Raw genomic sequence first — 23510 nt, forward strand, 5'->3', positions numbered from 1 at the left:
AATGATATCCAGTTATCTTATACACTTATAAAGTTACCTATAAATTCTTACGAATATTTTTCTAAAGTAAAATTTTGATTTTACTTTAATTATAGATGAGAAGCAACAAAGCAACATTTATAACAATTTATCCCACTCAGGCATTTGTTCCCACCAAATGTGTATATTGATATACGTACACATAAAATATTCCTGTGTTAGATTGTCGTCACATCACTTATATAAACTATTAACCCACTACAAACAAATTTGTTTTTCAAGTATTACAGTTGCATTGATTTTGATTTTGAAAATATGCATTCAACTATCCATTGCTTCTATGGAAAAGGACGGGTAATTCTTAGCACCAACCATTAGAGCATTAATGTCAACCGTAAAAGGAAACATCATTGACCTGGGGCAAGGGCAGGGGCAGAGGGGAGATAAAGGACAGAGAATATTATCTTGGGAAAGAGTTCAACTCTAGAGATTTAACTGGTTCTCATATAGTCTGCATAATGGTATCTGCAGCTCAAAGGTAATGTATCTGATTAGAGTTACACTAGGGGAAATAGGGCAGAGTTAATTAATCATTTTGTTATTTTGGGAGATTTTACACTTATAGTTGCTCGCATCACTAACAAGTAACTTTTAGACACCACATAACATGTCTATGACCTCATTTGTGTATTTACTGAATACTTATTGTAACTAGGAAGTATTGAATGCCACTGTTCTGAGTGCTTGGTAACTATTATCTCACTTAGTCTTTACAATCTCATTTCATCCATGAGGTAGGTACTATAGATGAGGAAAATGAGATGTCAAAATTTCAGTAACAACCCTGAGGTCACACAAGCAATAAATGATAGTTTTGAATGCATAAACCATAGTCTTAATCATTAAATTCCCATGAGGCTTCTGCAATGGATCTAACACCTGGGTGTCAGTGCTGCTGGTTCATAGACCACACTTTAAAAATCATGGCAGTAGACAATGTGAAGTGTCCATTTACACACTATTTTACCAGAAGCCAAAACTACATTTCAAGGACAAGCTTGTTCATACTTAGTTCTGTGGTATTAATAACAACTGAAATATCTGATATGTCAGCCCAATAGAATTGCTATAAGATTTTCTGGGTCTTGCTAATAAATTTAGACTGAACTAATGTTCAGAAATTATGTGAGATAACTTTATAAAATGTAGTTTAACATATAATGGTCAACAGTGTTTTGCAGTTATAATACAATTCTTCTTAAATATTGAGTATTTTGTCTTCACAATATACCTAAGTGATAAAGTATAATCACTAACACTGAGGAAAGAGAAACCCAAGGCAAGTGGCCACCATCACAGGTCACTTAGGCAGCAGGACAACACACATCCAGGCCTTCCCATGCCACATCCAAATCTTCTCTTCCATTAGCCGACCTTGACATTGGACTGTATTCCACTAATTAACTAAAACTAAATAAAGAAAAATGCTACTTAGCTACTGAAACAGCTAAGATAGCCACATTCTGATTTTGATTTTAATATATAGATAATCAAGGCCAAGGTGATATGACAACATTGAGTAATTTTCGGTTGTCTTACATTAACATAAACCTTATTGAATACAAAACATGGCTGCATGTATCATTTTATTACGCTGCTAAAAAAACCTGTAATTTAAGGACTTTTTTTAGTCTTATCGACTCCCTTAACCCAAGGTCACCTATAGGAGATGTATCATTTATTTCCCAGATCTGTAGGTTTGTGTTAACTGGAGGAGATTAGTCATTTCACCTCTACATTTATTTTAATAGAACTAAATATGTTACAAATACTGTCTTCCTCATATACGGATGTTCTACAATTTTATAAAATCATACTCAGAGTTCAGAGTTGATCTCTAGATGTCAAGTGTATTTACCATCTTTAGAGGGCTAATATTTTCACATCAAATAAAATTCCTCGAGGTTACTGTGGAGACAAAGTAATGAAGACAAATCAAGAAATGCTGTCAGTCTCTAGAGGATGAAAATGCCAGAATCTCCACATGAGAAAAAAAACCTCAGAATAGACAGCAACAACGCTTATCAAGTCCAGGCCCTATAATCATGTTTTATGATTTATAACGTTATTTTTCTGACAACTGGCAGAATAGCTCCATTCTTGAAAGAAATGCCTAACTGGCACCTCATCCTCACTGTGCTCACCCAATAAAGTTTGAAATAATTTTAATAATAATGAATTTATTTTGGAAAATTGTATTTTCTCTTCATGTGTACACATACCTCTAAAACTAAAACTGTGCAAGAGGCTCTCCATGGGAGTTGAGAACTATGGTGCTCCAATCATGCTGAGCAAGAAACCCTAAGATCCCCCTCATTACATGATAGTGGTTGGTTAGAATGGTGGGTGTCCCGGGATGACCAATCCCTTCAACCCCTAACATGGGTTAATTATTTCATATTAGCCATCAGGATTAGTAAAGCAAGCATCACAGTATCTGGCTAGTTAAAAAAAAAAAAAAGAAGAAGGTCAGGTAGAGAATCATCAATGACTAATAGTTTTCTCCTCTCATTAATTTTTGCTGGTGTCTATTCTAGAAGATATGGATGGCATAAAAGTCAATAGAATAGATAATATGGATTCTGCATACTTCTCTCACTTGTCATTGGCCGTTGCTTCCAGACATGCTGGTCTTTCTATCCTCAGTTCCTCAAAGGCATCAAGCTCCTCTCAGCTCTTGGCCTTTAGACTTAGGGGTCCCTCTGCCCACGATAAACATCCTCAGCCTTACTCCTGGGTTCTCTAGTGATCTATGTTTTTATAGTGGTACATTTCCTTCAGACCACTTGCAATGAGCAATCCATCTAACTCATTTAATGTCTGACTTTTCTACTAAACAATAACAATGTCAGAATGGGGTTTTGCTTATTCACCATTGTATTCTTATCACTGTTCACAGTGCTTGGCCCCCAGTAGTTCAATATTTGCTGAATAATGGTTCATGCACAAGAATGTAGACTCCTGAGGCATTGCACATGTTTACATCCCTTAAAATAACTAGTGAATAACATCTTTGCATATGAAGGCAATTAATATGTGGTGAATTCTTAAATTTAAAATATTTTGCAGGAAGAAATAGAGAAATGTCCAGATGGGATTGTAAATAAATTCAATCCTAAATGAAAAAAGGCTTCTCCAGTGAGAACATACTTAACTTTGACCTTTTGATTAAGTGTCATCAGTAAAGTATTTATGGGCTATGACTTGCATGGATTTATTACCTAGCTTCAGGAGCTGGATTCTTGATTTCCCTCTACTTATATATATTAGAACAGTAAAACACATAGGGATGGCTACTTTTAATTTTATAGGTCATTCAGAAATTGCATCTTGTAGAAAGTAATGATATCTTAGAGTTTTGGTTATTCACCACTGCAATTTGGAATGTTTGGTGTAATTTTAAAATTCCTAAGTTTTTTCCCCCTTTCTTCTATTCATCCTTTTGGCCACTGAAGCATTGCTGCATGGATTTGTGATATTTCAATAATGAGAAATGAGAGGCAAGGTACTTTAATACTTTTTATTATTTAATAGCTCAAGCTTATCACCTTGAAAATTGTAATATATCAGTAACAACCAACATTCAGGTAAGACATCACCACACATTCTTCTCTTCAACAAATAAATGCTAACTTGTGGTTCAAAGTCAAAAGATTTAATTTCTGAGAAGGCATGTTTAAATTCATCATCTAGGGATATTCTGGAAATATGCTATGGATGGAACTTTTATCAACTGTCCAGGAAGAAATGTATTATTACTTCCTAAAAATGTTTGAACAAAAGCTATTACTTTGAATGATGTATTCTCCATAGGTAATTGCTGTTTAGACATCAGAAACTAGCTCACACAGACTCACACTTACACATCTTTGTTTTACTCTTCTTTATAACAAAGACAAATTCAAAAACAAAATAAGATATTCCACCCCCAAAAGGTAGATAATCTTTTTATCTAAAAAAAAAAATCCATTCTGGAAAACTATTTTTATGGCTCCTCAGAACTTAGGATAAAGACTATATCCAATAACGAGGCTTCAAAACCTAAGCCATGTTCCACTGTTTGCAGTTACCTTGGACTTTAACTAGATGTGCAAGTTGACTTCTGACCATGGGGAATCCTCTCCATGACTGGATTATGGATTGTTGAGGCCATGGCAGATAACCAGTTCCACAGAAGCAACTTCATGTTCTTCTGAGGAAGATCCATAGCACTGTGGAACAAGGAATATCAATAAGCGATGACACAAGAGCCTGCAAATGAGGTTAACAAAATATAACCCTCAAAAATGAACTCTGATGGTGGAAAAATCTATGAGGAAAAATATTGTTGAAAAAATACAGGGATTGAAAATGGCTTCAGTTATGTTAAGAGCACTGGTGAACATTTAGTAGCGTTAGAATGTGCTTCTTACGCATGTAATAAACTATCTCTTGATTCCAAGCTCATTAAGTGGCCAAGTTGTATAAATTTGTTTCAAAAACAAACGCTTTTTCAGCATTGCCAGATTTAAAAAAACAACAGCAACTCTGTTTTCTAGAGGGGAAAACACCAAATGAAAATATTCAAATGGTAGTAATAAAATACTTGGCCTTTAATCAGTTCCAGTAAAATTATATTTGAAAGCTTCCCCACCACCCACCCATAGTCATACACATACGCATCAAATTTTAAACATTTTATAATGGCCAAAGAAGGTGTTTACATAGATCTGTTTATTAATGGAACTCACTTTTTAATCAGTTTTTAATAAATTGCTAATCCAGTTTAGCCTCAAATCAGTTCCATCCCTTTTCTCAATCCCTTTTCTGATGTCTAACAGTTAAAGTCCTGTGCCATGAACAGGGATTCCTGTGGCACTTTGGGAATTATCTGCTCTGGGTTTAAAAAAGTGCAGCTTATAAAGTTCTCTCTCTTTTCTTCAGCCTCTACGAAGATTGATAAAGGCATTTCCAGAGGCAAGTGAAATTCTTCCCCTCTCTGCTCGTTCTCCTCCAGGACCTCCTCTTCCTCTTCCAGCTCCTCCTCTTCCAGCTCCTCCTCTCCCTCCTCCACATATTCAGCCTCTTCGACCTCTTCTTCCTCCTCATCTTCGACCTCTTCCTCCTCATCTTCGACCTCTTCTTCCTCCTCGCTCGCCTCCTTTGCATCACACACCTCCTGGTCATACTCCTCCTCATCATCATTTTTCTTCTCCTCCTCTTCTTCCACCAGCAGCGGGGCAAGAGACTGGTTTTCCTCTGGGTTGGGACTGAATGCTAGAGAGGGATTCTGCACAAAGCCATACAGAGTTTCCTGCAGTCCCCAGGTTTCCTTGCTGCCGCCAGGGGGCGCGTCGTTTCCGGAGGATCTGGCTGGGGAGGCCTCGCCGCTCACCGTGGCCTTCTGCGCCCGCAGCGCCTCCTGCTGACGCTCCACCTTCTCCTGCTGCCTCATGTCCTCGTAGATCTGGTTCATGATGAATTGGGTGGTGTTGGGCGGCGCTCGCATGCCAGGCTCTCTCCACTCATACAGCTTGACCGGCCGCGGCAGCGTGCTCACATCCGCTGGCGGGCTCCGCGGGTAGGAGTGGCGAGGGTGGTGGCGCAGGCCGCGGCCTCTGCGGCCCCAGCGCTTCTTCCTGCCTGGGGGCTTCACCCAGCCAGGGTTCCAGGACCCGCTCCAGCAGGAGCAGCAGCAAAAGCAGAGAGGGTGCAGGCCATACACCCGAAACACTTGCACCGGGCAGGGGAATTTCCAGAATCCTGGAGGGGGTGGGCGCCAGGGCCCTCCCCAGCACCCCCAGTTAGAGCACACGGGTGGTTGGAACCAAAAGCCCGGGCCGTGCTGTTGCTTCGGCTGCTTCCTTGGGGGCCCATACTCGGTCTTGGGGCTATATCGGTGCGGTCTATTGTACGCTGGAGCACCCGGGCGCCTTCGATGGCAGGACGACCAGGAGCTCAAGGAGGCCGAGTGTGCCCAGCCACAGCCACAGCCGCCGCCGCCACCGCCGCCCAGGTTCAGAGGGTCTTCCCTTGTGTCGAGGGTCTGAGTCATGGTTCAGGGAGCTCCGAGAGGTCCAGATGGTAGCGACCTGAAGCTGTCGTCAAGTTTTGCCAGGTAGGACGGTCAGAAGAGCCTCGTCTCGTCAACCTGTCTCTCCACGCAGCGCCACGTGTCTACCCCTGGGATCACGTTTTCCTCTCCAGGAGGCTGCTCTCTTCCTGGTTTGCACGCTCTTCGGTAGTAATCGCTTGTCCTTCGCACCTGGGTTGTCTCGCCCAGGTGTGCTGGGTGGGACTGGGGCTGGGTAAGGATGGTGGGGGAGGAAGGTGTTGGCAGGCGACACGCAGTGAGACCCACTCCCGGGTCCCCACCACACCCGGCTCTGCTGAGGCACGGGCTGGGGCCGGGGGAGGCAGGGGTTGCGCAGTTACCTGCTGCTCCCTCTCAACCCAGGTGCTTCACTGTCGCCGTCCTGGCAGGACTGTGGTGGCGAGGGCAGCGGCAGCCTTTAAATACTGGCTGTGGTCTCCCGCGTGCCCACTGCGTTCTTGGTCACCCAGGGCAACAGCCAATTGGGGTCGAAATCGTCCTCCCTGTGTGCAAGGCCGGGTTCTGTCCGGAACCAGGCTCCAGGTGAACATTCGCAGGGGGCTTGTGACGCAGCGTTTGGGGGAGGTGAAGAGGGGTCCAGGCTGGGTTTCTGCTGCTCAATTCAAGCAAGTCTGGAGGCAGTTTATCCGAAAGCTTTGTATCACCTTGAGGCGGGGGTTTAGAAGATGGGCCTTCATCTGAACCCGGTGGGGGCGGGAGAACTTGAGTTTTGAAAACCCCACATTCTACACCTTTGGAGGGCCTAAGGGATCATGGAAAATTACTGGAGAAAGGAAACTTTGCCCAACCTCTTACCTTCTGGCCGGTGCCAACTCTTCTTACTCCTGAGAATTGGGATTCATAATACATAAAACAAGACCACGAACATTTATTATTGCATGTGCTCACTGACAAATAATCCTGTCATCTACCCTGAGAGGTAGGCGTATCTTATCACCTGTCACAGATGAGGGAACTGAGAGCTTAATTTCCCCATGGTTGTGGGGCTAATAAATTTCCAGGCTACGATTTAAGCCTAAACCTGTTTGACCCAAAAGTTAGGTTCCTAATGACATTGCTATGTGTTCTACCAAACCCCCAGTAGGACCCTTGTGATAACTAAATGACATAACATTTGGGAAGGTACTTTGCTATTGGTAATATACCGTACATGTGTACCTCAATTAAACAAATATTATTATTACCATAATGAATACCACAGGTTTGTCCTTGGGAAGAGGAATATTCTGATTGTCTTTCCTTTTGTCCCTTCACTGACCATACAGCATATACACGGGAAGCCTTTAAAGCATTGTGGTTAAGCATATGGGTTTTAATTTAAATAAATGGGATTCAACTTCAACTCACCAATTATTAATCTCTGTAAGCCTCAGTTTCCTTACCCATACCATGATTATACTACCTTTTCCATACGGTTGTGTAAAGAATTAAATGCATATAACAGGTCCTCTAATATTAATGTTTTGCTCAATGTCATTTCCTTATAACGTTGCTGAGGCAAAACAACAACAATAACAAAACCACGTTTCATTATATGTCTTCTCATTTAAAAGTAGCAGTTTCCAAGAACCTATGATGCTAAGTGAGGACTTACTGTAATTCCTTCAAGTACTTAGTGCAGGTACCCTGTAAGTACTCAGTAACTGTTAACTATCATCCTTATTTGTAAATACTTCATGACTTCTAAAAGAGATGATATAGTATATGTAAAGGCACTTGTTCTTGATGCAAAAATAGGCATCCCCACCCTGGCTTGTGTCCTTTTCTTGTCCTTCTTTGTAAAACGTCAAGGAAAGTGCTACCATACTTGGTCCTAGAGAAAACCGTCTCAGTTTATATCCCTTTCTTACTTTTCTGTGCTGAGTGGAATTGCACAAAATGGAAAACTGCCTGCTGGGAACTTCAGTCTATATAAGGCTCCATTAAATGCCAGAAAAGCAAAATGTGTGAAAGCCCTGAAGCTGGCAAAGGTCATTTATGCATTCCTGGCTGAAAATTGAGAACATTATAGGGGGTCTTGGATCAGGACTCCAACATTTGCCCTGAGACCTGTAGAATCCACAGGCTTCATTTAATTTCATTTGCTCTGTGGTTTGCTGAGGACACCCCTGCTTGACTCAAAGTACAGAATGCTGACATGTTTAGCCTGCAGTATCCCTTTCTAGATATGGACTCACCTTTGGCAGTTATTCTGACCCTGCTCTGTGTACTCAAAATGGAATGGTGAGAGCCCAGTTTTATTTTTTTCTAAGGACGTGTGTTATGCAAAAATGGGTTTTAATTGAGAGCATTACAGATGGACCATGTTGCTGTGTTGAAATTCCAATCAGTTTCTTTTTGTTTTAAAAGAGATGGTTAACTCATTTTACAGGTAATTAAGGACATCATTTTTTGATCAGTTGATGTGACCTTTATACAGTTAATCTTGGCATTATATACTTTTTGCATGGTGAGAATATTTATTCTCCCTACTGAACAACATTGACACGTTATTGGCTTGCCCGAATTTTCTTAAGAGAAGCAGCAATTTATTATTTTGATTATGATTTTAATTTTACAGAGATTGGAATTATAATACAAGTTTTGAATGTACTGGTAAATCATCCAAGAAAATTTACCACTAAAGCATGTTAAACAAAAAGTCAGACATTTAATTAATTTTTAAAGACACTTTTATAGTTCTTTTTTTAGTGACAAATTATTGTATATATATATGGCACCATGTGATATTTCCATACATATATACTTTATGAAATGATCAAATTAGGCTAATTAGTATATTCAAGTATTTGTCGTTTAATTGTGGTGAGAATTTAAAATCCTCTCTTATAGCTATTTTGAAATACACAATACATTGGTGTTCATTGTAGTCACCTTGATGTGCATTAGAACACCAAAACTTACTCCTTCTCCCTACCTGTAACTTTGTACCTGTTGACCAATGTAAGGACACATTTTTAATTGACCCATATTCTTTCAATACCATGAAATGAAATATTCTGATTCAATATTGAAATATAACACATTCATCCTGTTGTTGAATATTGTATTAGCTTTCTGTTGCTGCATAACAAATGATCACAACCTTGGTTACTTAAAACAATATACATTTATTATCTCAAGGTTTTCAGGAATCAGGGGTCCAGGAATATCTTAGTGGGCCCTTTGTCCATGGGTGCAACAGGCTGTGATATGGTTTGGCTGTGTCCCTACCCAAATCTCATCTTGAATTGTAGCTCCCATAATTCCCACATGTTGTGGGAAGGAGCCAGTGGGAGATAATTGAATCATGGGGGTGGTTTCCCCATACTGTTCTCGTGGTAGTGAATAAGTCTCACGAGATCTGATGGTTTTCTAAGGGGAAACACCTTTCTCTTGCTTCACATTCTGTCTTGCCTGCCACCACGTAAGACGTGATTTTGCTCCTCCTTTACCTTCTGCCATGAGTGTGAGGCCTCCCCAGCCAAGTAGAACTGTGAGTCCATTAAACCTCTTTTTCTTTATAAATTGTGCCGTTTCGGGTATGTCTTCATTAGCAGCATGAGAACAGACTGCTACAGGCTGTAATTAAGATTTTGAATGGTTTGAGTTCTCACTGATGTGCTCAATTCAGAAAAATTCACTCCTAAGATCATTTATGGCATTGGCAGAATTTATTCCCCATGGCTGTAAGACTGATGGCCCTGCCTTTTAGCTCTCTGTTGGCTGGAGCCCAGCTTTAGGACTTGAGGCCACCCACTAGTCCTAGGGGCTAAGGGCGGTTCTTAGACACTGCCCAAAGCAAGAACTGTGGGCTTCCTCAACGGGGCTGCTCACATCATCTAACTGGCAAAGAAAATCTCCATAGTTTCTCCTAGCAAGATGGAAAGTTACAGATGTAAATACAGACATATACACGTGTGTGTGTGTGTGAAAGTGTGTGGCTGTTTATGATAATCCTGGCCTTGACATTCTTGCCTTAACATAATCCTGGGTTTTCCATCACCTTTGCCATAGTCTGTGGGTTAGAAGCAAGGCCCAGGTCCCCGTGGACACGCCGTGTGGAGGGGTTGGGGGAGTGGGTATTACACAAAGGTGTGAACACCAGGAGACCAGGAGGCAGACAATCTTACCATCAGTTTCCCACATATGTAAAGTAAATTGAGTCAAATATGTTGTTCATACTCACTTGTTGCTACTTTATTTGGAAGATTTTAATGACACTGTTGGCCTTTTTCAAATTGTAATAAGTGCCGTATGATGGCGTAGGCTCTGCTATGTTTTATGTTGTGCAGAGCATTATGTTTTTAAGTTGAAAACATACTGCAATTTTGGTGTTGGTTTTTGTGCATTTTTGTGACTTGAAGAATTCTAACACTTGATGGCAGTAGTAGCTCATTCAAAATACAGTCAGCAACAATTCCTATACAAAACAAACTGACAAGTAAACAACTCATTTTTGTGTTTTATCATGAATTCCATTTTTAAACAATTCCAGGTTGCAGTATTAATTACCTTTTATTCTTGTCGTAGAATTGGGTGTTTTTATTATACTTCAGCATTTTTCAATTGGCTTTGAAAAAGCAAACCTCTGCCAATTAAACTTGTAAATAAAATTCTTCAGAGAAAAGTTAGATATGCCCGATCCAGTCAGATAAATGAAATTCAACAAATATTTTTTAGATCCATCTATGTCACTAATACAGTGCTATGTGATACAAAAATAAATAGAATGCATGCTTGCCTATAAGTAGTTTTAAAGTATAATGTATTCTGGGGCAGTAGGATGCAGTGCTCATTTTTTCTTGGCAAATAACCTGTAATATTTAAAGAAAAATAAACATATATGGCAATTGAATAGTAAAAAATAGCAATTTGATGCTTAAAAATACATGTTCTGTCAGGCTTGCCTTTTCCTACTGCAGACATCCACGCAGCAGGATTTTAAAACCAAAGGGTCAACGCCATCTTGTGGTCACAAAGGCTAAGTACAAAGTATTAAGCCTTTCTAGCTTTTCAAAGCTGAGATAGAGATTCAAAGGGCATATTGCTTTCTCTTAATAATTTGGGAAGTTTTGGGGTTAGTTTGCAGATTTTTGAGGTGTGTTGTGCATCAGGGAACACCATTGTGGTTTTTTCCATTTATGAATCCTCGAGTCATTTTAAGCAAATTTTGAAGAGGGAGTTAACTTTGTGATGACAATGTTTCTATAGATTCAGAGAAATAAGAAATGCCAGTTTTACAAATCGTAGTACTATGTGTAGATATTATTTGCTACCACCTCTTGAAATTATTATTGATCCTATAACAATTCAAGATTTTCAGAGGATTAGCACAACATATTGTAGTTATCACATCTGAAAAACCTGGGCACTCAGAAATACTTAGATAGGAATTGTTAGCCTGGTCATGTTTGCTTATAAGTAGTTTTAAAGTATAAAGTATTATGGGGCAGTAGGATGCAGTATTCATTTTTTTCTTGGCAAATAACCTGTAATATTTAGAGAAAAATAAACATATATAACAACTGAATAGGAAAAAAAACAATTTGATGCTTAAAAATATACGTTGTGTTTTAATCAGAAGTCAGTTTTAAATTTAGAGTTTTCAGATAAGAATATGAGGTATTTGAAATGGCCACTTAAATATGATACATTTAGCAGGATCACTAAAATATTATCATCACAATTTAAGAGTTATAGTGAACACTTTGTCCTTCTAGAGTTCATGTCAAACTACATCTGCAAAGCCACCTTGTCAGTAGGCAGTCATAATGCCTGTGAGAATGTCGGTTAGCACCATAACATTTGTATAATATTGCCCTTTTTATCCCAGTATTTTATTTATTTCATTTTATTTCTTGCTAAAATCTCTTCTTCCCCCATATTCTGTAATAATTGTATGCTGAGTAGGCTGTGAGGACAGAAAGTTATTCTATGACATTTGTGGGGGGAGATCTGTTATCATCAATAATGTTCTTGTAGGCAGGACCTCATTAAGACTTCCATGGACCCCTTTCTTCATAAAAAATTAATTAAACTCTATTTTATGGCTTGTTGCTACAGAAAAGAATGTAATCCAGGTTTGACTGATTATTGCACATATATTATTATTACCACATTCTCTTTATTTTAAAAGAAACTAAATATTTTCATATGTTCTGAAGGCTCTTGCAAGCTGTGGGCACTGTGCCGACTGTACCTAATGAATAAGTCAGTACTGTCTGCTGGGAGTCTCCACTTACCCTGATGGCACTAAGTATCTCAGTCCATCTTTTTGCTGATTTTCCAGAGGCCAGGTATCTGGAGGACTACTCTGGCCTCGGTAAATGGTCCCTCCACGGTGCTTGAAATAAGGCACTAGACCAGTGGGAAGTCACTGTTGCATACGAAAAGCCGGTGCTGATCTTTGCATCTTTGTCCAGCCTGTACACCATTTTCTTTATTTTATAAAACTGGAAAAAGTCATATCTGTGGTACTTTAGGTGCAACAATGGAGTCAAATGGCACAGGATTTAGGAGTCGGCTGTGGATCCAGGCCAAGTTATTTAAGCTCTCTTCTCTGATTTGTGACTTGGAATAGTGATTATCTCCAGCTCCTAGGATATTGTGAATTAATACATGCTGAAAACCTTAGTAGATGCCTGGCACATAGTTTGTATCCAATAGCTGGTTGCTATTATAACAATGTGTGTATACATGAATTAACTTTAAAACAACATTTAGTATGCTTCAAAGTTAAACGCCAGGCCTAAAAATGATTTTCTGACACTATCCTCTAAAGTATACTGTTATATGGCTCCTTCTATTTTATAGCAGTGATGTTGTATAGCTCTTATTTCTATTTTAGTAAGAGTTGTGCAAAGTTGTCCTGTGATTGTATGGACACTCTGGGAGCTACAAGTTTGTCCACTGACAGTGTTAATCATTTAACCTCATTAAAATGCGTACACAATAAGATATAGCAAATGATTTTTCTTTCGCCCTTATTACTTTCATTTATATTTCCCACAAAGGCAAGCAAAAGTAACATTAGAAGATAGTTTTGGCTAAAAATATGTCTACATGTTTAAAATAACTAAATTTTTCAAAGAATCATTGCAATTCTTTTTCTTAAACTATAACAAGAGAATCAAAACCAAATCATCCACTTGTCTACCTCATTGGCACAGCAGAAATTGAAAAGTCAGTGACATTGTATATTTCTTTGTCCACATAGAGACATCATCAAAGGATGACTATTCCATCCCAGAGAAACAATAATAAAAGGCTTTCATTAAATGTTACTGTTTCCTTATTATTCCCACTACTATCATCACTATTTTTTTATGTGTTTCTAGGAGGATTTAAGAGTAGAGAAAGAAGGTCATTATCTATGGTGCATCACCACTTGCTTATACTACTAGGATTTGGAGATTGTGTTAGGTAGAATTTTAAAGATAGGTCTCTGAGATTCCTGCCTTCTGGTTATTCAAACATTCTTCTAGGTACTGTTAAAATACAATTACAGGTCACGGCGCAGTGGCTCATGCCTTTAATCCCAACACTTTGGGAGGCCAAGGCATGCAGATCACGACTTCAGGAGATTGAGACCATCCTGGCCAACGTAGTGAAACCCCGTCTCTACTAAAAATACAAAAAAATAGCTGGGTGTGGTGGCACGCACTTGTAGTCCCAGTTACTTGAGAGGCCGAGGCAGGAGAATCGCCTGAACCCGGGAGGCATAAGTTGCAGTGAGCCGAAATCACGCCACTGCACTCCAGCCTGGCCACAGAGCGAGAGTCCGTCTCAAAAAAAAAAAAAAAAAAAAAAAAGCAGATTAAAGCACCAAACCAGTTGGCCTTTTTTAAGATCATATGGAGGTTACCTGGATTAAAATTAGACAGATGGTTGCAAAGCTCTGTTAATATACTACAAAACAATTAATTGTCTCTTTTTTAATATGTTAATTCAGAAATAGGCTATGAAGTGATGAAAAGATTTGATACTAAACCATCTTAGTAAAGTTCTAGAGAATTATGTACTTTCCCACACTGTTGGTGAAAGTTTAAGTGGTTACACTGTCTTTGAAGGGCAATTTAGTAATGTTTATTAAAATTCAAAATAATAATCTTTGACCCAGAATTCTACTTGCATGATTTTATCAATACATGTACTCTCACATGTATACAAACTTATTCATGTTCAAGCAAGGGTATTCTTTGCAGTTTGGTGTAAATGAAAAAAATGTACATCCATGTGATGGACTGATATGTGGTTTTCAGAATCAGTACAGCTATATGTGCTGATATGGAATGATCATCCAGCAATAATTTTAAATTAAACAAGCAAAGTTCAGAATAGTGTTTATCTTCTGTACTTAAAAATGCATATTTTATGTATAAATACACACATTCTGGTGAAATGCACATGTAGCATGTACACATATGTATTTGTGTAAAAAAGAAAAAGTTACTTATATGCAAGTTTTTGTTTCTTGTGGAAATCTTTATAAAATTATGCAAGAAAACATTATTTCTGAGGAGTAGACCTGGAGGTGTTGCAGCTGGAAGGAAACTTACCTTTCATTGAATACTCTTTTATTGTCTTTCAGTTTTGAACCATGTATGTGCCTGTATTATGATTATACATTTTAGAAAGACGAACTCTCCTTAGAAAGTATTACTTCTTCCCTAATATGATTATCATATCATCTTCTTTCCATTTTCTATATTTTATTTTTCTTACAGGCACACAGAAATACACTACATAACTAATCAGTTTATCGAAGATCTAAAATGAGTTGTCAGCTCTTTAAAATAATAAAAAGTTATAATTCAAAAACTGCAGGTTATGTGTATTATTGTTGGATATGATTATTTGCATGGTGTCATTATAATGACTATTTCACAAGGCCATTATAATTTTCAAATACATTTATTCTTTTTTTCATGCTCTTTAATGGATTAGGGGAATAAACATGCTTTAGTGAAAAAAAAAGGAAGAGAAAAGTTTAATTAAAAACATCTAAATCTTGGCAAAAATACCTAAAGTGTTCATTTCAAAATTTTACTTTATTATGTACTTAATTTGAAATGATATAGGATATGAACTCCTAAAACTTGCAAGTGATACATGATCTATAAGAACATGTGTGAAATATTTTCTATCACTTAGTTTTGCTCTTTTTGTAAATGTTATAGGTTTATTCCTAACTCATCTGGTGTTTTCTTAAATTACTACATTTTCATTATAACATTTTTAATTGTATTTTATGTAGTCATATCATCTCTCAGAACACAATCTCAAAGTATCATGCTGAGTTTTGTTTTGGAAGAGAGCAGTAAGAATGGTTTATTTATAGTAGCCATCGTAATGCTAACCATTATCTGAAATTAGACAAGGCTCCCAACAGGCAGACGAGGTAGACACATGTATGCTTGAGGAGTTTTGCTGAGATTAATAGGGTTTCCATCCAATCGAATGTCCTCTAGTGCCTTACGAATATAAGTCAAATTTTTAACATTGCAGAACGTATCTTCGTGCATTTCCAGAATGTTGTTATTCTAAAAAAGATGAAAATAAATTATGACAAGATATAACACATTCTTAGTATTGATTGATAGCGCAGTCCACTGTGCTTCACCCTTGTTTTTATTCTTTTGTTATTTTCCTCAATCAAAATTACTTAATGTATATGCCAAGCACTTTCTAAGCAATGGGGGTAAATTAGGAAATAGACATGCTCCTGTTTTTAAGGAGCTTATACTTCAGTAAGAGAAATACAATTTGAGGTGAGAAAACTACTGAAAGAAAAACAAGTTATTTCCAAAAATGATGAGTATTGTGAAGAAAATAGGATGACTATGAAAAGTTATCTTTAGAGGTAACAATTGAACTGAGAATGGATTGACAAGAAGAAAAAGGCATGGAAAAAAAACAAGGGAAGAACATTCTAGGCACAGAGAACATCAGGTTTAGAGTCCTGAGGAATCAACATGGAATGCTCCTCCCTCAACATTCGACATTCAAGTCAATGTGGCTGAAGTGAGGGGAAGGAAGGAGGGAGCAAATATCCGGAAGATAAGCAGGGCCCAGGACTGGATTTTTAAACCTAGGTTTATTTACTGTATCTCACATACCATAAAATTCACCCACTTAAATGGTACAGTTCAGTGTTTTATAGTGTATTAACAGAGCTTTGCAACCATCTGTCTAATTTTAAAGCATTTTCAACACCCCCAAAAGAAAACCACACATTCCCCTCCTCCCACCCCAGCAACTGCTAATCTATTTTCTTTTTATATAGATTTTCCTATCTGGACATTTCACGTAAGTAGAATTATATATAAATTTTTTGGTACTGAGTTCTTTCGCTTAGTATTGTGTTTTCAAAGTTCATACATGTTGTAGGATGTATTGGTACTTCATTCTTTTTTGTTGTCCAATACTATTTCACTGTATTGATATACCACATTTTTGTTTATTCATCAATTAATGGAAATTTGAATTATTTCCAAATCCAAATTATGCCTCTTATGAATATACTTCTGTTAACATTTGTGTAAAAGTTTTGTATGTACATACGCTTTCAGTTCTTTTGGGTATATACTTAGATGTTGAATTGCTGAGTCATATAGTAACTTCATGTTTTATTTTGAGGAACTGTCAGACCGTTTTCCAAAGTAGGTGCACCATTTTACACTTCTACCAACAATGTATGAGGGTTACAATTTTGTCTGCATCTTAACCAATGCTTCTAATTGTCTCTTTTATTTTAGCCAAATAAGTGAGTATGAGTTGGTATCTCACTGTGTTTTTGTTCATTGTTAGTGTATTGAAACATAATTGATAGTTTATATTGATTTTATAACCTATAACATTGCTGAACTTATTTATTAGTTCAAATACTTTAGTGGATTCCTTAGAATTTTCTATACCTAAGATTTATAGATTAATTTGGGGACCATTTCCACCTTAGTCGTAAGTCTTCTGATTCATGAATATGGAATTATGTTTTCTTTATTTAGATCTTAATTTCAACAATGTGTTGTAGCTTTAAGTATACAGAGCTTGTACTGCCTTTGTTAAATTTCTTTTAGATACCTTTAAAATTTTGTGACTATTATAAACAGGATTGTTTTCTTAATTTTTTTTCAGATTGTTCATTGCTAGTGTATAGATATCCTGCATACAATTGATATTTGTATATTGATTTTGTAACCTGCCACATTGCTGAACTCATTTATTAGTTCAACTAGTTTTTAGTGGATTCCTTAATATTTTTTATATGCAAGATTATGTCATCTGAAAATAGAAGAATGACCTTATTTCCAATTTGGAAACTATTTATTTACTATATTTTATGTATTTATTTTTCCTAATAGTCCTAGCTATAACTGCCAGGCTCAATACTGAATAGAAGTGGTGAGACAAACAATTTTAGTCTTGTTTCTGTTCTTAGAAAGAAAGTGTTCAGTCTTTCTCCATTGAAGATGATGTTAGCCTGAGTTATTTATAGATGTTCTTTATTGGATTGAAGAAGTTCCTTCTATTCCTAGTTTTACTTTTTTAGTAATATTATAATAAAATGGTGTTGGATTTTGTCAAATGCTTTTCTTGACATCTATTGAAATAATCATATGGTTTTAAGCCCTTTATTCTATTAATATATTACATTGGTTGATTTTTAAATGTTAAACTATTCTTATATTTCTGCAATCCCATTTGGTCGTGATGTGTAATCTTTTCTATATGTTGGTGAATTCCGTTTGTTGTGTTTTGTTGAGGCGATTTGCATCAATATTTATAAAGGATATTGGCCTGTAGTTTCATTTTCTGGTGATATATTTGTCGAGTACTGTTATTGGGTAATATTGGCTTCACAGAATGGGTTAGGAAGGAAATGTTCTCTTTTTTGTTGTTATTTGAAATAGTTTGTGAAAGATTGTTATGAATTCTTCTTTAAATGTTTGATAAAGTTAACGAGTAAATCCATGTGGGAGTGGGTTGTCTTTTTTGGAAGATATTAAATTGCTAAGTTAATATATTTGCTTATTATAGCTCTATTCAGATTATCCATTCTTTAGTCAATTTCAATAGCTTGCATTTTTCTAGAAATCTGTTCATTTAATCTAATTTGTTGGTTTACAGTTGTTATAGTAATCCTTATGATCCTTCTTATTCCTGTAAGTTTGGTAGTAATGTCCCCTTTCTTATTCCTGATTTTAGTAATTTGTGACTTTTTTCCTAGGTCACATCAGCTAAAAATATGTCAATTTGTTGATCTTTTAAAGAAACAAATGTTAGTTTTGTTTCTCCATTATTTTTCTATTATATATTTTACTTATTCTGCTTTAATTTTTATTATTTCTATTCTGCTTGCTTTGGGTTAGTTTCCTCTACTTTTTCAATTATCTTAAGGTAGAAGGCTAGGTTATAGATTTGAGATCTTCTTTTTTAATATACGTATTTACAGCTGAAAATTTCCCTTTAAGTGCTGCTTTAGCTCCATCCCATACATTTCAATGTGTTTTATTTTTGTTTTTATTTATCTCTGATTTTTTTTAACTTTCTTGAGATTTCTATTTTGGCCCATTAGTGATTAAGAAAAATTTTGTTTCATATCCACGTATTTGTGAATTTCTTAAATTTTATTTTTTGTTGATTTCTAATGCAATTTCATTGGAATCAGAAAACATACTTTGTATAATTTTAATTATTTTCAATTTACTAATACTTGTTTTGTGGCCTAGTATGTGGTCTACCTGGGAAATGTTCCTTGTGCACTTGAGAAAAATGTGTATTTTGAAATTGTTGGGTGGAATGTTCTGTCGATGACTGTTATGCCAAATTGGTTTTCAGTGTTGTCCAAGTTTTCTATTTACTTAGTGATCTTATAGATAGTTGTTCTATCCATTATTGAAGCAAGGCCAGGTGCGGTGGCTCATGCCAGTAATCCCAGCACTTTGGGAGGCCAATTCAGGAGGATCACTTGAGGCCAGGAGTTCAAGACCAGCCTGGGCAACATGGTGAGACCTGGTCTCTAAAAAATTTAAAAAGTAGCCAGGCATGATGGTTCACACCTAAAGTTCTAGCTACTTGGGAGACTAGGGTGGAAAATTGCTTGAGCCCAGGTGTTTGAGGCTGTGGTAAGCTATGATCATACTACTGCATTCTAGCCTGGGTGACAGAGCAAGACCCTTTCTATAAAAAAAAATTAAAATTAAAAAATAAAAATAAGAAGATGGAATACTTCATTACTATTGAACTGCCTATTTCTCCTTTCATTTCTGATAGTTTTTGCCTCATGTATTTTGGGCCTCTGTTGTTAGATGCATATATGTTTATAATCATGTATGTATTGACCCTGATGTATTAACCCTCTTATCATTATAAAGTGTCAATGAGGAATAATACATGTTTTGTGCCTATTAACTCTGCTATTCCCTTTGATATGTGATAGATATGTGTTGTTAATAACTGTGACTTACATTTAAGTATTTATCATATATCAGTAGCTATATTAAATGCTTTATAAACATTGTTTCATTCATCCTCCCAGCCATCCTGTATAGAAGATCACCTTTTAATCCACATGAGAAATCAGAAATGCAGGGAGTTTCAGATAGTTTTGGGTCTAGAATTTCAGCCCAAGGCATATGCTTTTGCCAGAGCCTTCAGTTTTAACTGCTATACTACATGTTGGCAAACATTTTCCAAATGAATAAAAAAGGGGATTTATTTATGTATTAAAAATACAGAAGTTGAAGACAATGTAAGCTAAAAACAGACATATATATATTGGATGTTGTGAGCTGACAGTGACGGAGAAAAAAATTTTAAGTTGCACTTATTGACTTTCAAAGCTTAGAATGGGAATGTAAAAGCTGTTACTTTAAAAAATTCCCTCATATTATATATACAAACTAATTATGTTTAAATATAACATCAAAGACTTGTTTTATTGGTAGAATCAATATCACCCCAGATAATAGTAATAAAATTTAATTCATAATTGGAAAACACATTCTAAAATCTCTAAGTACTCCCTTGGAAATCTTTCCTTCAGTCATAAACAAGGAAAGACATCTTTATATGCATAGAAATTCACCCCCAGAAAAAAAGAGAGAGCCATCCAGAAATCAAACCAAATGGCTAGAAAATACATATACAATAGGCAAGTAAACAAATCAGACAAACCTACAAAAGAGACAGATATCCAAGACACAGACATATATACATATATATATATATAGTGTGTGTATATACATATATGTATAGAGATATATATTTATATATATGTAGACACCAAAAATATGAAAATATTTATATTAATAGGAAAAAAAGAAAAGGCACAAAGGTAAATATTCACAAAATCCACAAGGGGAAACACAGGAATTCATGTCCAGCTCTTAAATAGCAAAATCACTTTTTGTACATTTTCTGCCATAAAAGATAATGTTAAACTATAATGTTGTTTCTTTGAGCATGAAATGGGTGTTTTCTCTATATATTTATTCCATAGAACAGATCAATTGATTAGAGAATGTTGATTATAGCTACAAACTAAAATTTACAACTGAAATAAGAAATAATTTATATTTAACAACCAAAAATATTCATTATGATTGAACAATTTTTTAATCACATAGGTGAAAATAAAATATTATTCATTCATTAAACTAATCAAACTGAATACTTCAAAGATAACATGTAGCTTAATGGGCTTTAAAATAACCAAAACTTTCAAATATGGTGTTTAAAAAAAAAAAAACCTGCACTTTGTTTATCCAGAGAGATGGAGCTTGCCATCTCTCAGCACATAGGAATGCCTTAGGACTGAATTTAATTCAATACATAAAACCTAAAATCACAGGCTGAAACTGATGTTTTTTTTTTCCCCTGACAGCTAAATGTCAAGTTAGATTTTTATTTCTCCCTTTTCTTTTCCACTTCTAATCTTTTCATTTTCTTCAACACGTGAAACTTTCAGTGGTTTTTTTTCTAAAGAAGATTTGTGTACCAAAAGGATGCATTTTGCCTTGGAAAATAAGAAAAAGAGTAAAGTTATCAGAATTCAATTAGAATAGATAGAGCTATGAATGTATAAAGATAGCTTTGTACTCAGATAAAGAGAGAGAATAAATGAGAAAAGAGAAAAAGAAGAAAAGTTATCACAGTGTGTCAACATGCCATTACAGACAAATTCTTGTGTCCTGATGTCCTTTTTGGCTTTGCTTTCTCTGAAGCCCTTGGGCGCACCTTACTGGTAGACTCCTACCTGGAGGTGAAGGGCTCGTAGATTTTCTGGGAGTGGCAGAGGGATGTGGTCCAAGTTGTTATCAGTGAGGTACAGATGATGGAGATCATACATGTCCTGTAAACATTCCAAATGTGGGAACTCAATAAAAACTCAATAAAAACTCAATAAGAAATAAAAAACACAGCTGTATTTCCCATTCCCTCTACATGCAGATATTTGTAAAATAGCATGTTCCAGTTCAGGTCTTGTTTTGTAAAGTTGAGGCAGCTTAGTTTTCTGAGTTACTAGACAATTCAGATGAGTTTTGGAAAAATTGGCTACAAGCAAATATTTCTTCATAAAAATACAATGTGTTTCTCAGTCTCTAGGAAGAACCATGTTTTGTTCAGTCTGACTTTCTCAATTTAAGCAAGGCTGCTTCTTCCTATGAAAGGCATTCTGCAGTGGGATTTTGAGGATTTTGATGAGGCATAGCAAGCATTTCCTTTATTTTATAGGCATGGAAACAAAGAGTTCCTCCCCAGCAATGGCCTGGTAGCCCAACTACCAGAAAAGGGCAGCCTAGCAAGACAAAAAACATTTAGACAATAGCTGTTCTACTCTAGCCAAACACCCTAGAATAAACTGTGACTCATCACCACCTGTGCCAACACAGGCAGAGTGGGCAGACTAGACTATGACCCTTGCCTGGCTATAGTGAGATGCCCTAACTCCCATAGCTACCATTGATGGTATCACTGGAGGCCTAGCAGAGAGACAGGGCATTTGCCACCACCCAGTGGTTATGAGGCCACACTATCCCCTGTGCCATCCCTGAGAATACTGTGGTGTCTCTCTAAAGAGTATTTTACAATTACATGTTCAGTGTACACTGAGAGGGGCTGCTTGAATGCCATAAGAGGAGGCAAGAAAGCCAGTTGGTTACTGTTCTCAGACCCTATGCTGTTTTTCAAAGCAAGTCCTCTAGCCCCAAACCTGCTTGCTTCACATAGAAAACAAAATCTCTAAGGCTAACTGAATCCATCCTCTTTATAAGGTCATTTAGTAGCCTTCTGTCTTCAAGACACTGCCCATTCCCTGCCAAGTAGCTATCCTTTTAGCCAGATAGTCTTTCTGAGTGTAGGGTCTGATCAATACAGATTCTCTGGCTTGTACCACTTCCAGGTGCTCCTGTAGATGGTGCTTCTGTAGATGGTGCTTCAGGTAGCCACCAACTTCTTATTCTGGCCCTGCTTTCTGTTTTTGGTACTTGATCACCCTCACAATGTACCAGAATATGGTGTTTCTCAGAAGCATGACAGATGCAGTTGGGAAGTTTATCTTGAAAGTTAAAAGTCTCACTAAATTAAATCCCCTTATAGAAGTTGAGCATAGTGACTCACACCTATAATCCCAGTACTTTGGGAGGCCGAAGCGGGAGGATCACTGGAGCCCAGGAGTTCGACACCAGCCTAGGAAATATGGCGAAACCATGTCTCTACAAAAATATACAAAATTTAGCCAGGCATGGTGACACGCATCTTGTAGTCCCAGCTACTTGGGAGGCTGAGGCAGGAGGATCATCTGAGCCCAGGGAGGTCGAAGCTGCAGTGGGCTGTGATCGCACCACTGCACTCAAGCCTGGGTGACAGAGTGAGACCCTATCTCAATAAATAAATAAATAAATAAATAAATAAATAAATAAATTTATTTTCCCTACACGAATAAAAAAGGTAGTCAATGACAGCAAATAAAATTGGAAGATAAAAGTCTGCATATCAAACTTAAAACTTACTTTAAATGCTTCTTGCTTTATCCCTTTCCTTCCAAGTCTATTGTTGCTAATATCAATAAATGTCAAAGTGGTTGGCAATTCTGGGAGCTGCCTTATTTTGTTGTCACGCAGGACAAGCTCTCGAAGTTGAGGCAGTTTTCGGAATGCATCTTCATCAATCTCAGATATTAAATTTGATGTCAGATCAATCCTTTTTAAATCACCTAGCAGAAAAAAATAAAGGAAGTAATTAAATATTCTTGTTTTGCTCACATAAAAATATAAATGTAATTTTCCTTTATTTTGCAAATATAAATTTAGCAATGCACAGTTAATGAGATGATTATCTTTCTTTTTATAAAAAATTATTTCCTCCAAATACTATTCATATTTATGTACTT

At 36.8% G+C, this 23510-nt stretch overlaps 2 protein-coding genes across 4 annotated transcripts in view, besides 1 other annotated feature; both read right to left on the reverse strand.

The window, feature by feature from the left end:
• Window positions 1–3545: 3545 nt before the first annotated feature.
• Window positions 3546–6507, reverse strand: CCER1 (coiled-coil glutamate rich protein 1). Of its 2 annotated transcripts, NR_130711.2 has the most exons (2): window positions 6454–6507; window positions 3546–4250 (listed from the first exon to the last, which is right to left on the reverse strand). NR_130711.2 is itself a non-coding variant. In NM_152638.4 (1 exon), the coding sequence occupies exon 1, from the start codon at window positions 6071–6073 to the stop codon at window positions 4853–4855; it is 1221 nt and encodes a 406-aa protein (NP_689851.1). In that variant the 5' UTR covers window positions 6074–6507; the 3' UTR covers window positions 3546–4852. The 2 variants fall into 2 exon arrangements, 1 of the variants encoding a protein (NP_689851.1); NM_152638.4 differs by having other exon boundaries at window positions 3546–6507.
• Window positions 5416–5515: an enhancer, noted in NCBI's record as "active region_6716". NCBI's record gives its function as "activates an Ori minimal core promoter by ATAC-STARR-seq in GM12878 lymphoblastoid cells {active_cell/tissue: GM12878}" and the evidence as "EXISTENCE:reporter gene assay evidence [ECO:0000049][PMID:35858748]".
• Window positions 6508–15012: 8505 nt separating the features above from the next.
• Window positions 15013–23510, reverse strand: part of EPYC (epiphycan) — a 41291-nt gene continuing 32793 nt past the window's right edge. For both annotated transcript variants that reach the window (NM_004950.5, XM_011538008.2), the window contains 3 exons: window positions 23131–23333; window positions 21375–21470; window positions 15013–15657 (listed from right to left, as the gene is read on the reverse strand). In NM_004950.5, the coding sequence (NP_004941.2) occupies window positions 15487–15657; window positions 21375–21470; window positions 23131–23333 (470 nt within the window). In that variant the 3' untranslated portion in view covers window positions 15013–15486. The remainder of the gene's footprint in view (window positions 15658–21374; window positions 21471–23130; window positions 23334–23510) is intronic.

This window comes from Homo sapiens, chromosome 12 (genome assembly GCF_000001405.40).
Source record: "Homo sapiens chromosome 12, GRCh38.p14 Primary Assembly".
In the NCBI taxonomy this organism is placed as follows: Eukaryota; Metazoa; Chordata; class Mammalia; order Primates; family Hominidae; genus Homo; species Homo sapiens.